The sequence below is a fragment of the Homo sapiens genome, chromosome 6 (assembly GCF_000001405.40).
Source record: "Homo sapiens chromosome 6, GRCh38.p14 Primary Assembly".
NCBI lineage: Eukaryota > Metazoa > Chordata > Mammalia > Primates > Hominidae > Homo > Homo sapiens.
Window position 1 is genome coordinate 13,976,783 of NC_000006.12, and position 16,273 is coordinate 13,993,055.

Below are 16,273 nucleotides of genomic sequence, written 5' to 3' on the forward strand. Positions count from 1 at the left end.
GGGGATTTAACCTTTTAAGTTTATTGCTTCTAATCCTTGAAGCTCAGAAAATTCCATAAAGCACTTTTCAGAAACACCGTTTCAGTGAACTGTTCATTATATTAGAATCTCTTTTCTTCTTTACAGACCCTTCATGTGGCCTTTATAAATATGCGTTTGAGACAGAGTTATATGCAGAAGTTGAAAATGCCTGGAAGATTTCTGGTTTCTTTCACTACTTATCCTGCCTTTTTGCATCGCTGCCAGATTTGGATGATATGATATTCAGAGGGGCACCTTAATCAAAGCCATTCTTCAACAAGACCCACCTGGCATAAGATTGCACACATAATTCAAGATGGCCAGTCAACCTCCTGAAGACACTGCGGAGTCTCAGGCCTCTGATGAGCTGGAGTGCAAAATCTGTTACAATCGATACAATCTGAAACAGAGGAAACCCAAAGTGCTGGAGTGTTGTCATAGGGTTTGTGCCAAATGCCTCTACAAGATCATAGACTTTGGGGACTCCCCACAAGGTGTCATTGTCTGTCCTTTCTGCAGGTTTGAGACGTGCCTGCCAGATGATGAAGTTAGTAGCCTGCCCGATGACAACAACATCCTTGTAAACTTGACTTGTGGAGGCAAAGGGAAGAAGTGCCTGCCAGAGAACCCTACTGAGCTGCTGCTCACCCCCAAGAGGCTGGCCTCTCTGGTCAGTCCTTCTCACACGTCCTCCAACTGCCTGGTCATAACCATCATGGAGGTGCAGAGAGAGAGCTCCCCGTCCCTGAGCTCCACTCCTGTGGTAGAATTTTATAGGCCTGCGAGTTTCGACTCTGTCACCACTGTGTCACACAACTGGACTGTGTGGAACTGCACGTCCCTGCTGTTTCAGACATCCATCCGGGTGTTAGTGTGGTTGCTAGGTTTGCTCTACTTCAGCTCCTTACCCTTAGGAATCTACTTACTGGTGTCTAAGAAAGTCACCCTTGGGGTCGTCTTTGTCAGCCTGGTCCCTTCGAGCCTCGTTATTCTTATGGTGTATGGTTTTTGCCAGTGTGTTTGTCATGAATTTCTAGACTGTATGGCACCTCCTTCTTAACTGATATGCAAAATAAGAAATTGGACACACATTGCCCTGTTTGAGTGTGAAGTTAGATAATTTATAATTTATTTTCTTTTATGTTCTTTATGATTAGTATCCATGACATTAACAAAACCCTTGGCCACATGTTGACTTGATTGGTTTTCCTGTAGGCTGGAAGTAAAAATGTTCATTTCTACTTAGGGGTTAGCAAAATTGTATAAGCTCACACTTCATGGAGCACTGACAGCAGTGAGTCTTCCCAGAGAAAGGACAGGGTTTCTCTCAGCACTGCCAGACAGACGGCAGGGGTGTGGTGTGTTATACTATAGGGAGAGCATGGATCCCTCCTTTCGTATTCATGGATGTTCTATGATGGCAGTTGGACACAAGAGGAAAGTTGCTCTGAGACACAAAGTGTGTACTCCTTTCCCACCCCATACCCCTGGTATTGGAACACCCTAGAATTGTCTTCAGGTGTTTTCTCTCTTAAGTCACTCTCTGTGGTCGGCGATCCCATTGAGATACTTGTTTCCTCTGCCCATTCTCCCTTGCCAAGAGGAAACTCGGTTCCATTCCCTTGGGTAGTTTCAACTGAATACCAGTTTTGCCACATTACTAAGGAGAATGAAAAGCACTGAGGAATTTGCATCACAGTCAGCTTCATGGCAGAATGTGGCCATTTGTCCTTGAGACACACTCTTTCCTCCATGTCTGTTTTCCTCTCTCCTCAGTCTTATCTGAGAAGAATGGAGGAGAAGGAACTTCTCATACAGCGGTTATTATTGATGAAAACCTTCATTTGAGTCTTTCCTTATAACATCTTAGTTTTGGTTTTTTTAAACCACATTGCCCAATCAGCCTCACCCCTTGTCCTGAAAAGGTTCCATTTAAATTAGTTGCTATAAATTCATCAATACTTTTTTTCCCTATTATATTTTTGGTTCTATTAGGATTTACTTAACTGAATCTTATAACAATTCGAGGTGAACTGTGGCAATGAAAACCAGAAACAGTTAATGAGATGCTTCAGCTCACAGTTTGAAGTGCTGAGAACCTAAGTATTTTGCTGTACGGTACTGAGCTGTACCAAAATATGATGGTTTAGGTTTATGTGCAAGACTTTGTGTTGTAGTCTAGACAAAGGGGTGGGCAAGAGACATGCAAAGCTGAAGCCCTGCTTGAAAAGACCCTTCAAGGAAGTAAAATGGCAGGGGCAGAGTGCAGCTTAACATGTTGCTATCCCTGTTGTTTTTGAGTTGGTTTTGGAATGGATTCAAGTTCTTACACAATTTATTTTGAATACAAGCATAATCTAGGTGATTTGAGTTAATGAACTTCTTTTCATGATGTAGGGAAAGTTGAATGTATATATTTCTAAGAAGAATTTGTTTAGCAGATTACAAGTTGGCAAAATAGACTGTTCACAGAAACTAGGCAAAAATTTAAAAAAACATTCTAGTCTCTAAAACCCATTACTAATGATTAACATTAAAATATTTGTAACTCTTAGAAAGGGGGCATTACTAAGACGACTTTAACTTGTTATGAAATCTTTGTTGTGTGATGCAGGTACAGTGCGCCCATTCCAACTGGAATAGCAGTTTGATTTTAATTGTAAAACTAAACTTCGGGAATATGTATGCCCAAAGTAAGTAGGATGAGAATAGTATACATGGGATATGGTCCAATGAATTTAAGCCCCAAGATACAGCTAAATACATTTATGATTTCATAAAATCTAGTTTAGATAGCATTGTGATGCAATTTCCAGAAATCCATTTGTGTTTAGAGTAAATACCATGTTTAGAAGATGTTTTGTGGTTTGGATTTATATATTTGTAAGGTTTTTTTAAAAAAATGTTCGTTTTGTTTGAAATGTAACATTGAGTAAATTGGTGAGTTATATAATGAGATTTCTAGAAAGCTCTGGACATGGGTACGATGTGTTTTGCTTCTCTGTATAATGTCTACAGTGATAAACTTGTGTCTCCGTGTATTGTGGCAGTCTTTTTTTCTAGTTAATTTGGCTTTAGAGAGCAATCTTTGTATGACACCAGAAAACTCTTCATGCTATTGAATGATAAAAAGATAATGCTTTAATATTTTATTCACTGTGATACTATTTTGTTTGTCTATTAAATTGTTATTATTTCCAAATTTAGAAGTTTGATTTCTCTGACTTATGGTTAAAATTCAGTTATGACTTTGCACCTCTGTTAGCTTTAGATAACGGCAAACATGAACATTCAGAAACGTTGGTTCAGCTAATGCCTTTATCATGCCCGTGAAGACTTCAGAACTTTCCAACAAAGGGGACCTAACCCATCACACTTTTAAAAGGCCTTCATAGTTTTTTTATTTTATTTTATTTTATTTTATTTTATTTTATTTTATTTATTTATTTTAAAGCAGGGGAGAAAAATTAGGGGAGATGAAATAAAAATATCGTCTTTATAAATAAATTCTTCGGTTTTAGTTTGTTTGATTTCATTTCCAGGTTTTTGCCTAACTACTCAACAAAATAGAATCCAACTTAGTTGGGAAATCACTTACCTTGTATGGTCTGGGAAAATTTTAAAAATCACATGGCATCTAACTATGACCATTGTTAGGCAAAGTAGAAATAATTTGGGAATATGCAGCAGTTTTATGCTTATGATAATTAGTGAATTGGCAAGAATAATGGTTTCATTCACTTCTGAAATGTTTATGTAAATGAGCAAAGAATCAGCTTAAAGAAAGCAGTTACCTGTATTGGTCATAACTTACAGGGTGAACTCATGCATATCTGCCGAGAGACTTGAAAGTGATATGTATTTGCCAGATTGTAAACAGATACTAGGCTTCGAAGACACCTTGAAGAAATGTCTTAGTATGTCAACCAGGTAGTCCCAAAGCCAAATGAATCCTGGTATCGATAGGCAAACTGATATAGCCATTATGAATATGAGCTCTGGAGTAGCTCATATTTATAGTTCATGAGATACAGATGAGATGCAAATGAGTTAGAGAGAGTATCATGCAAGCAAACTACGATTTTATGTTTCTGCATTTTTTGAGACTTGCTCTTTTTGCCTACTCTTCTTGGTAAAAAATACCTCAACTTGATTCCTTGGAAATGCCATAGAAACACCACATATTATTCCAGAGCTTTACTCAAAACCTGTGAGAGTCTTGGTATGGTCCCTGAAAGAGTTTAACCATTTGCTCTCCAAGTTAGAGTTTTGTGTGCTTTCTACATCTTTGCCCTTTTATTAAATTATTCTCTCTACTTCAATACCCTTTATGAATTTTTACTCCTTTGTGAGGAACTGTAGGCTTAGTATTGGGTCTTTCCTTACACATTTATTTTTGTGTAAGAGAGATTTAAAAAATGTGAATGTTGAAATTTGAGTAAATTCCAAATGAGTCCTGGAGGTAATACAGATTCAACCCAGTTCCTGATATCATTTCATACTGTGGTAGACTCCAAATCTGCATATACTCAGTGTGCAGACATTTATGGTTCTGACATGAAGGTGCTTTAAGCTTATGAATAAAAGAATCAAAAATTAAATTACATCCTGAACACTGTGTATACTAAGTAGGGATCTGTGCTAATGTATTTTTAAAAGTGTTAAACCTTGATTTAATTAAAACATCAATTAACTGAAAAGTCACAAGCATTTTAATTAAGAGTTTATTAGATTTGTAACATATTAACACTTTAAATTGAGAAGGTTGGAATTTCACAGGAGAAAGAATATGCTCTGACAGTAGGTGGTTTTAGATCTTGTTTTTCGCATGAAGTGTAAGGAAAGTTTCTTTGTACATTCACGTTCACATTACATTTACATTCTTATTACCCCAGATAAGAGGTCTGGCCTGAAGACATAGCTTTGGGAGTCTTTAGCAATTCTTCTTTTTTATAGTCTATTTTTAAGATTTTTAAATTGAAATATAATTGTATATATGTAGTACATAGTGGTGTTTTGATACATATAATGTATAGTGATCAGATCAGGCTAATTAGCATAGCCATCTCACACATTTTTCATTTTTTTGTTGGGAATATTCACTATCCTCCTTCTAGCTATTTAAAACTATATAATCTATTGTTAACTAGGGTCATCCTACAGTGTTATGGAATACTAGAACTTACTCCTCCCATCGAGCTGTAATTCTGTATCCTTGAACAAATTTCTCCCCATCTCTCCCTTCCCTCTACGCTGCCTGCCTCTGGTATTCTGTTCTGCTTTTTACTTCTATGAGAACAACTTTTTTTTTTTAGCTTCCATAGATGAGTGAGAACACCGGTATTTAACTTTCTGTTCCTGGCTTACTTCACTTAACATAAGGTCCTCCAGTTCCATCCATGTTGCCACAAATGATAGGATTTCATTATGTTTTATGTCTGAATAGGATTCCATTGTGTACTATACCACATTTTCTTTATCCATTCATCTGTTCTTAGATACCTAGGTTGACTCCATATCTTGGCTATTGTGAACAGTGCTGCAGTAAACATGGGGTGCAGATGTCTCTTCCATACACTGATTTCTTTCCTTTGGATAAATGCTCTGGATTGCTGGATCACAGTCTTATTAGTTTTTTGAGGATCCTATTCTCCACAGCGACTGTACTATTCTCCCTAGTGACTGTACTAGTTTATATTTCCACCAACAGTGTATTTCAATAGCAGCTGAAGGTGAGGGGGTAGAGAAATGTTGAGGCCCAGAGAGGACTGAGAGGCTGAGCTCTCCAGGCTATAACTCTGAATGCTCAGTAGGGCAGTGGGCACAGCCACTGTCATGGTGCAACCAGAGGGGGAGAATGGACACCAGAGGCAGTGGTCATGGGAGCAAGGATGAGGGGGGAGTTAGGATGATTGGGTGAACACAACAGAAGTAGATTGGATGGTGAAAGAAAGAAAGGTTCTTCAAGCTTATTTCACGAAGATTTTCAAAGATACAGAAAAGTTGAGAAAATAGAATAATTATCACCTGTACACTTATCACTTAGAGTCAATTGTTAACCTTTTGCAATATTTGTTTTCTATCACCCTTAAAAATAAAGAACTTCCCTCTAATTTGACTAAAACATTATTATATTATCTCAGACAATTAAAAATACCTTTCTAATATCATTTTGTATACATTTTTCTCAAATTTTTCTATTCTCAAATATGTTTTGTAACTTAAAAAAAAAAACTCAACCAACAAAAATAAAAAAAAAATACCGGGATCTGGTCTAGTCTCACACATTGCCTTTGATTTTTTTATATCTTTATTCTCTCCTTCTGGAATAGTCACCCCACCTTGTTTTCCCCATAACCTTGACTTCTTGAAGAAAGCAAACCAGTTACCTTGTATGATGTCCCGCATTCTGTATTTGGTGGTGTTTAATTTCTGTTACCTGTATTTTCTGTAAGCCAAAAATCTATAAGCTTGATTGGACTCAGATTTTGGGCAACAAGTTGTCTTAGTCACCTTTGTATCACATCACATTTGGAGGCATAAAATGAAAGGTTGCCCTCCCATTCAAAACACTCAGTTTGATCACTCAGTTAAGGTGGTCTCTACTTCCCCTGTGCAACTGTAAAAAAAATCCATGGGGTGACACTTTGGATCCATGCAAATATTCTCTTCCCTAACAATTTTCACCTGATGGTTTTAACAGCCAATAATGATCCTTGCACGAATCAACTACAGGTACTTCGTTTTCCAAAGATTTGGAGTGTTATTCTAGTGAGAACTAACTCCCGCCTCGACTGTCAGCTGTGTAATGGAGGAAATAGAACCATAGGAGCCAACCCTTGTCTAAAGCTTCAGTAAATCTTAAGGTTTGAATGCATCTTTATAGTTACCCAATTATTGAAGGCATAAACTGGAATGAAAATCACAATCTTTTATCTTCCAATGTACTTTCTATGATCTCAGAGGAGAAAGAAGCCCAAATCATCTGTGAAGTACCTTTTTTTAACCTTTAAATAATTCACTGGACTCTAGCCTTGAACTGTCCACTCTCAACCAATCTCTTGTTGAACATTTCATAGGCAGCTCTCTGTTCATCTGCTGAATCATTACTTCCTTGAAGACTATGTACTCCTTATTCTCAATCTTTGTCAAATCTTAAATTCTTTGCTTTAGACAGCTCTCTTTCCTTGTTATTCTAGTAATTTAGTCTGTTTTTCAGAGTGATCCTGTTTGCCCAGAATAACCTCTTGCCTATTGTCTGACCATTTCATCTCTTCTTAAAATCCCTGCCAGGCAGTGGGTTCCTCCACAGCATTCACTGTGTGTTCCCAGTCTTGATACTCTGCTGGAACTTTTCTGTATATCCACTCCCTGTTGTTAGATCTTTTTCATTCTTCATAGCAGCAAGTAGAATGCATGCAGGGCATCTATCAAGTCATACAATAAATTCTGTAGTCTTTAGATAATGTTTTCAAACTTTTAGTAAGCATTATTTTTAGTACATATATGCTGTGTAATTCTAAACTTAACACTTGCCCCTAATTCTTGCCAATACAGTCCCAATTTGGTTGAGCCAATCACGAATTATGTCTTGGTTAACAGATGTATACTGGACTAAAGTCAGATAATTCTGAGTTGGCTTAATGGTAAATCCTTCTCAGTAGTTCCGAATAAGTTAAACTTTTTATTGTTCCGTGCCTACAAATAAGAGAGCTCATCTTTTAACATAGCATTTCAAAAGAGTTAAAGTGACACTTTAGCTATGAAATGTTATTTTTAATGCCACATAACACCATTAGTCAATAAATGAACATCTGTTTTTGCTATGTGCTGAGCCAAAACCTCCTGCGCTCTTTGTTTCTTCCCCCATTTCCTCTGATTTCTTTAATGTCACTTAGGACATTAGTGACCTAACGCAGTCACTGCCACCTTCCTCCACACCTCCTGTACACACACACGCTTTATATTTCAGGAAACAAAGCTCTGTGAAAGAGAACCACATTAGTCTTCCACTAGCTGGGGATTATCCATTTAAGTATTATTTTAAAATATTTTTGTGATGACTAACAACTACATTTATGACTTCTTGTAGAACAATGGATTCGGCTGCTTGTCTCAGAGGTAATTGTGCCCTCTTTTGCAATATTCACCATAGCTGAGCAATGGAGATTTTTCCTAGCTAAATGATGGAATGGTTGTTGACAGTGATTCCATTTGACGGTTTTTTGTGTTTTTTTTGGTTTTGTTTTGTTTTTGTTTAGACGGAATCTCGCTCTGTCGCCAGGCTGGAGGGCAGTGACGCAATCTAGGCTCACTGAAACCTCCGCCTCCTGGGTTCAAGTGATTCTCTTGCCTCAGCCTCCCTTGTAGCTGGGACTACAGGCATGTGCCACCACACCCAGCTAATTTTTGTATTTTTAGTAGAGACAGGGTTTCACCATGTTGGCCAGGATAATCTCAATCCCCTGACCTCGTGATCTGCCCGCCTTGGCTTCCCAAAGTGCTGGGACTACAGGCCTGAGCCACCACGCCTGACCTGATGTGATTTTTTTTTTTTCCAAGAGATTCCAGTTTGAACTGTGTATTTCTATGGTTAAATTTACTGTCATTACAAATTTTATTGTTGGTTAGAATTTTAAAAATTATGAAATTATTTCTAGCCTATAATTTGACCAACTCTTAATCACCAGTTAAGAGGGAATAAACAATATGCCCTACTTTTGTGGGATTTTTCTGTTGCCAGAGTGGAGAACGGAGAAGTGGTCATTGGGAGACCAAAGAATATTAAATTCTGTCCTTGAAACGGGAGGAAGGTGGCACTGCTAATTACCAGACTTTTGATATAGTTTGGATACTTACTTGTCCCCCGAAACCTCATGTTAAATATTTGATCCCAATGTTGGAGGTGGAGCCTAACAAAAGGTTTGAGTCATGGGGTGGATCCCTCATGAATGGTTTGGTGCCGTTCTTCTCCTGCTAGAGGGTGAGTTCTTGCTCTGTTAGGTTCCCCAAGAGCTGGTTGTTAAAGGAGCCTGGCACTTCCCCCTTCTCCCTTGCTTCCTCTCTGGCCATGTGATCTCTGCACACACAGGCTCCCCTTTGCCTTCTGTCATGAGTGGAAGCAGCCTGAGGACTTCACCAGAAGCTGAGCAGACACTGGTGCCATTCTTCTTGTACAGCCTACAGAACTGTGAGCCAAACATATCTCTTTTCCTTATACATTACCCAGCCTCGGGTATTCCTTTATAGTAATGCAAAAATGGATGAAGACAACCCTCTTTCCTACTTACAGCTTTATATCCCAAATGGGAACCTTGCCAAAGTTTTTGATACGAAACCTAAAGATTCATTATTTTAACTCAAATATTGACTACTTATGATGCATAACATATAAATATTTCTTGATTCTTTGACAAGATATCCATACATGTCACAACTCATTGGAAGGATATAAAGACAAGTATAATGTTTCCAAGGTGTATCTGATTAAAGCAGTAGTTTCAAAATATATGACATAAAACATGTCTCAGTAGCTGGCCCAGGAAAGGAGGACTTCCTGGCTGTGCCTGCTCAGAAGCTGTGCCTATGCATCTTTCTTTTAGAGATTCTCATGAGTGTTGCTGCAGGAAAGGGCCTGAGAAGTCATTTGGTTAAAGAAACTTATTTAGCAGTCCAATCCAATGTTTCCCCCAAACTATGTAACCATGGAAATCTTTCTCAAAACATCTATTAATATTTTGTGGAATTAGTGTTCTGTGGAGCATATTTTGTGAACTCTGCAATACAGAATTGATAAAAGTCATAATATAGAATCTGAAGGCAGACAGAAATCACGAAACCAGTGCATGAATCTAAAAGGCAGTCAAAAAGTCACAATTAGGCAGTGCATCCCAGGAGAGTGGCAAAGTGCAAAGGGGCAAAGGAACAGACCACCAGGAGCATGGATAGTGAAGGAGTATTGATCCCTACACTTGTTCCCAACATAAAACAATTTACAATGAACAATTCTTGTCAGACTTTCATGGAATGACATATTCAAGCTTTGTCTCTAGCCCCTACTAAATATCTAAATATATGTAGAAGGAGATTTCAAGTGGAATAATTAAGTGCTAGTTATTTTTTGAGCCTATGAAACTTCCACAGCTAATTCTCAGAATAGACCTAATATTCCAACTGTTGGAAAACATGTACCAGATTTTTAAAGTTTTGGTCATTGAACGTTAGGGCTGGAAAGATTTTATATATCAGAGGCCAACTGCCTTGTTTTAAATTATCAAACCAACACGTAGACACTGCCTTGTTTTAAATGATTAAACCCACACTTATAAGCTGCCTTGTTTTAAATGATGAAACCAACACTTAGAAATGATCCCTCTCACAAAGGCGAGAGATAGGTTCTAATAAGGACCACTGAAGTCCCAGTCTGCTTTTTACCCTACACTCCCCTGTCTCTTTGTCAATAGCCGTCAATTTATTTTTCCCACATGGGTTACTGAATTTTATGGACAACAAAATATGCAGTGGGACAGAGATTATTTTATGCTTAGAAGCTATGTCTAGCTACAAAAATATGTAATGAGGATATGAAATAATCACCTACATTCTTCAACATCCCATTTTGTTCTCGAGAAGTAAGGTCAAAGCATGTGAGAAGTGAAAACTTATTCATAAGCAGACACAGAGCTTTATCATATACAAGCAGACGGCTGTAGTCATTAGGGAAAGGAAGAGCGTTGAGGTGAGAGGTCAGTACTTGAGTGACAAATGATCAGAATCAGGAGGCTTTCACATAATCTTTCCTTACCCTGTGCAGCACCCTAATCTAGACCCTTACCTGGATAGTTGCAATCATCTTTGAGGCAATTTTACTGCATCGTGTAAAGAGCACCCTATGACATTCTGACCTCCTCGGTACCTGGGATCATGATCAGATCCAGGAAGATGATGTTTGCATGCCCTGCTCCCTCAGTGCATGGACCTCCACTCTGGTGATGGGTCCCGACGCCGTCCTCTCACTCACTCGCTCTCATCACCCATGCATGCTCTCGAGTGGCTTGCGTTTTGGCTTTTACAACTTCACTGAAACTGCTTTCTCAGAGGGACTGATAGCTCTTCAAAAAAGTAACTTCTATTTTTATTAAAATTGTACATCTTCATGGTATTAAAAGTTACATAGTATTAAGCACTTTTAATGAAAAACAGGTGCCTCTGAACCATCCTTCCCTGTCCTCCTAAGGGCAACCACTTTCTACTCTTAAATATTTCTTTCTCTTTACTTCCATATTTCTGAAAATTGTACTTATATGATAATTTCTTAATTTTTTTTCAATTTTAGCCATTATCTATCGATATTCTATTGTGGAAAATGACTTAATTTTCTTATGACCTTCCCTACACACACACACACACACACACACACACACACTCTTTCACTTCTTACATGTTCCCAATATAATTATATCACAATTCTTGGTAAAATCAACATTTGGTGTTTAGATTGTTATGACTATCTAATATCACTCATAGCTGAGGTTCTAGTGTATTGTGAATACATTTTCTTTCATATACAACTTTTTGTTTTCCCTGGAATTAATTGCCTCATTTTAGAATTTGCTTAGTTTTCTTTGTATGTATAACTGAAGCATCCCCAGAGTCTATGATTATTGAAGAAACCTTTCCTTTCTGTCAAACGTGATAGATAATGTGCCAGTTTACTCTCATGGCGACAGCCCTCCTGGAGCCCTTCACTCTCTTGATTTAATCCAGATTAGTTACTTTCTGCACAGCTGCCAGCCACGCATCCTGAGAATTCTCTGATCCCCTTTTCTTGAGTCCCTTGCCGTCTTTTGCTAGGTTTATTCATTTTTTGACAAGAAAGCACATTCTCTACTAGCTTGCTGGGAGAAAAAGATGCATGGAGGTAAAAATGCTAAGACCCTGCATGTCTGAAAATATCTTTCCGTCTACAGCTATACCACTCTGAACGTGCCTGATCTCATCTCAAAATGTCTTTCCTCTAGCCCTAAGCTTGATCGATGATTTGGTTAGAAATCATCTTCCCTCATTGCTTTGGTGCCTTTCAATCCCCACTTTGCTGCAGAGGAGTTATTTAGCATTCTAATCTCTGATTCTTCGTATGTCTTTTTTTTTTTTTTTCCATTTTGAAAACCATTAGGGTCTTCTTTTTTCTCCACAGTGTTCTAAAAGTTCACAATGAGCATTGTAATCTCTGATTCTTTGTATGTCATTATTTTTCCATTTTGAAAACCATTAGGGTCTTCTTTTTATCTACAGTGTTCCACAATGTCGCAATAAAAAAATTAGTGTGCAGCTGTTTTCCCCCATTTGTTTTACTAGGGACTCAATAGGCCCTTTCCATTGGGAAGCTCATGTCCCTCAGTTCTAGAAATGTTCTTGCATTTTAAAAATTTTTTTAATTTTTTTACAAAATAGCTTTCTTTATGTTTCCTTTCTTCTTGTTTCTGGAACTCCTGCCCATCAGCCTTTGAACCTTCTGAGTTGATCCTCTGAGTTTCTTATCCTGTTTCTCATCTTTCATGTTTAATCTGATTTCAGAGAATTTACCTCAAATTTATCTATCAACATTTCTCTTTAACTTTATCATGCTTGCCATCATTTTTAATTTCTTAGCGTGCTTTCTTGTCCTCTGAATGTTTCTTTTGTTGTTGTTTTTTAAATGATACTCTCTTCTTATTTCTTCTCATTCTTTTGTGAGAATATTAATTTTAGAGTTTTTATGTGTTCTTTTGCTCCCTGCGCTATTTCCTCTGAGTCATATTGTCTGTTTATTTTGGTCCCTATCTTTCATGGAGACGATCCTTCAAGTATCTGATCTTTAGCTGTCTTTTCAGTTTAGTGAGGAGCTAAACAAACTAGTCGGAAGCTGTGTATGCATGGCTGGGGCTTGTCAACTGATGGGCCTCCGGGGAGGTGTCTCCTGTTTTATTGGCAGATAACCAATTCTCAATCCATGTAGGTCTTTCTTTTATATTGACGAATCTCACCACAGAGGATAATCCTCGCTGCCAGTGTCTTGGAAGCTGAAGGAAGGAGGATGTCAGACTCCCTTCTCAATATGCAGCCTGTCATTGAATACCTTTGTTTTCAGCAGGGCTCATTCCACCCTCAGGTGCATGTGGTGTCTCTGAGGACAGACATTCTCTGGTCTTCAGCAGGGCAGGGGAGGAGCAGTTGCCAGGCTTCATGGAGGAATAGACAAGGGGATCTGGGAGGCGAATTTTCTGGGTGCCAACTCTCAATGGCCTGGTCCTCTCCAGAGTCACAGGTAGCTGGTGTCTTTAATTCTCCAGCTTTTCCAAGGTTGTTCTGCAAGAATTAGCTTACCCTTCCTCTCCTCCCTGCCTTTCCACTTGCTCCTGCTGCAGGCTTGGGGGCAACTTGCGGTAAAATATATGCCTACTACATTTATTGGCTGTAGTGATTCAAAATAAGCTCCCATGGGTTCCAGAAATGTTAGAACTTTTTCTTCTAATGTATACACGCGATGCAGTGAGAGTTAAAAATGTTCCCAAAGCACATGCAGTGCCATATACCCATTCTACTTGGAGCATGGATGGGTTCACTTGGAGTTCAGAATTGCAAAAGAGACACACATCCTCAGTAGCAATCTCACCAAAGAGAGAGATTCTTTATCAATGGCTGTTAATATCATCTCACTACATTAGGGTGTGAAAAATGTGCAGGGGAGTCTGGTAGATTTGTTTTCCAACTCGCTCTAACATTTCCTATATTTAATGGAGACATGGAAAAATGGTCACTGGCTTAGAAGTTATTTTTAATGGAATTTGAATAACCATGAGCAGAAATCATTCTCTGTTTTAACTTAAGTCTAATAAACATGTCATGGTCCTAAGGGTATAAAATAACTCTCGGGTAGAAATGAGACGTAACACTTGGAGTGATTAATGATCTCATAATCTGAAAATCTCAGATCATAAAAGCCAGTGTTTTTCTTTTAAAAGGTTTATTGTGGCCAAAGTATTCATCAAAATCTATTTTGCAAGATGCTGACATTGTTCTAATATAAAATTCAGAAATAATTAAACATTTGTCAGGCATCATTTGTTTTCAATTGTGCAGGTAAATGTGGGACTAGAGTCTGTTGCGTCTGTACAAGCATCTGACGTTGGTACATCAGCCAACTACTGCATAACTTTGGGTTGTGAAATTATAACATGCTATATATTAAGGAGTAACAAACCTGAAGTGACGTGCTCTGTTGAGCAACAAAGTATTTTTCTGAACTTTTTAAGTTACTGATGGTTATGAATTGTAAATCCTCTGAAGAATGTAAGGCCTTGTTCCCTCTTCCTGTAGCATCTGTAGCATGGGAGACTTGCAAATGATAGCACTGTCAAAGATTTACTGAGCACTTACATATATTCTTAGTTCTGGGTTAACTGCCATTTTTTTTTTTTTTTTTTTTTTTAGATGGAGTCTCACTCTGTCGCCCAAGCTGCAGTGCAGTGGTGCAATCTCAACTCACTGCAACCTCCGCCTCCCGGGTTCAAGTGATTCTCCTGCTTCAGCCTCCTCTAGTAGCTAGGATTACAGGTGCCCGTTACCATGCCCAGCTAATTTTTGTTTAGTGGAGATGGGGTTTCACCATGTCGGGCAGGCTGGTTTTGAACTCCTGACCTCAAATGATCCACCCACCTCTGCCTCCCAAAGTGCTAGGATTACAGGCGTGAGCCACCGCATCCGGCCTGGGGTAACTGTCTTAAAATGCATATTTCAGTCAATCGCCATAGCAACTCTGTTGTGCTCATCTAGAGACTAAATTCAGGATGCTACCAGGTGAAAAAGAAAAGTTGTCTTTTCCCAAACACAGCTCTATTCCTTACAGGTATTTCCTTTAAGCTGTTTTATTATTATTATTATTAAAATGTATCTACTTTACATAGTACCTATAGATTCCAGTCTTTGAGAGTGGAGATACTTAACTCACATTACTTTCCACTGTCTCTTCTCTTAAATTTTATCGATTATGTTATCTGTAATTCTTCTACCAAACTGGTCGTATACTTCAACTTCAATCTAATGTCTCCATGTCTGGATGCCTCTCTTTGTTCCCTAAACTCTGATTCTGAGATCTCAGCTTTTTTTGATTTGGAATGGAAACTCTGAAAAAGGCCAAATGCTATGCTTGCAAGCAGCCTGAAGTAAATATTTTTTTAAATAAACTTTTTTATTTAGAAAAAGCTTTACACTTACAGAAAAATTCAGAAGACAGTAGAGAGAATTCCCATATACCCTACACCCAGTTTCTCTTCTTATTAATATCTAACATTGATAGGGTATGCTTATTACAATTAATGAACCCGTATTAATAAATTATTATTGAGAAAGTTCATACTCTATTTGGATTTCCTTAGTTTTGTTCTAATGTCCTTTTTATGTCCCAGGATCCCATCTAGGAAATTACATTACATTTAGTTGTCCTGTCTCCTTAGGTTCCTGTTGGCTGTGACAGATTGTTAGACTTTTTTTTTTTTTTTTTCAGTTGGAATTTCACTCTTGTTGACCAGGCTGGAGTGCAATGGTGCAATCTCGGCTCACTGCAACCTCTGCCACCTGGGTTCAAGCGATTCTCCTGCCTCAGCCTCACAAGTAGCTGGGATTACAGGCGAGTACCACCAAACCTGGCTAGTTTTTGTATTTTTAGTAGAGATGGGATTTCACCATGTTGGCCAGGCTGGTCTCAAACTCCTGGCCTCAAGTGATCCACCTGCCTAGACCTCCCAAACTGCTGGGATTACAAGTGTGAGTCACCGTGCCCAGCCAGCTTTTCTTGTTTTTCATGACTTTGGCAGATTTAGTCAGGTATTTTACAAAATGTCTCTCAACTTGTCTGATGTTTTTCTCATCATTAGACAGGGGCTATGGGTTCTTGGGAGCAAGATCACAGAGATTAAGTGCCATTTTCTTGCATCATATCATGATACAGACTATGAACGTGACTCATCATGGTTGATGGCCTGGTCATCTGGCTGACACAGTGTTTATCATATTTCTCCTCTGTAAGGCTACTCTTTTCCCCACTTTCTGCACCGTACTCTTTGGAAGGAAGTCACTATGAGCAGCCTGCACTTAAGGAGTGTGGGTTATGCTCCATTTTCTTGAGCATAGAGCATCTAGTCAATTATTTGGAATATTTCCATATGGGAGATTTGTCTCTTCTCCTTCATTTATTCATGTTTTCAATCTTTAG

The 16,273-nt window shown here is 38.4% G+C and overlaps 1 protein-coding gene across 7 annotated transcripts in view, besides 3 other annotated features; it reads left to right on the forward strand.

The window, feature by feature from the left end:
- RNF182 (ring finger protein 182) overlaps positions 1–3,528 on the forward strand; it is a 55,865-nt gene extending 52,337 nt beyond the window's left edge. For all 7 annotated transcript variants that reach the window (NM_001165034.2, NM_001165032.2, NM_152737.4 and 4 more), the window contains one exon: positions 127–3,528. In NM_001165034.2, coding sequence (NP_001158506.1) covers positions 338–1,081 — 744 coding nt within the window. In that variant the 5' untranslated portion in view covers positions 127–337 and the 3' untranslated portion in view covers positions 1,082–3,528. The remainder of the gene's footprint in view (positions 1–126) is intronic.
- Positions 10,501–11,123: a transcriptional cis regulatory region, noted in NCBI's record as "candidate enhancer chr6.702 targeted for multiplex CRISPR interference". NCBI's record gives its function as "positively regulates RNF182 gene expression in K562 cells {active_cell/tissue: K562}" and the evidence as "EXISTENCE:mutant phenotype evidence [ECO:0000015][PMID:30612741]".
- Positions 12,884–12,984: a transcriptional cis regulatory region, noted in NCBI's record as "candidate enhancer chr6.703 targeted for multiplex CRISPR interference". NCBI's record gives its function as "positively regulates RNF182 gene expression with high confidence in K562 cells {active_cell/tissue: K562}" and the evidence as "EXISTENCE:mutant phenotype evidence [ECO:0000015][PMID:30612741]".
- Positions 15,836–16,273: a transcriptional cis regulatory region, noted in NCBI's record as "candidate enhancer chr6.704 targeted for multiplex CRISPR interference". NCBI's record gives its function as "positively regulates RNF182 gene expression in K562 cells {active_cell/tissue: K562}" and the evidence as "EXISTENCE:mutant phenotype evidence [ECO:0000015][PMID:30612741]".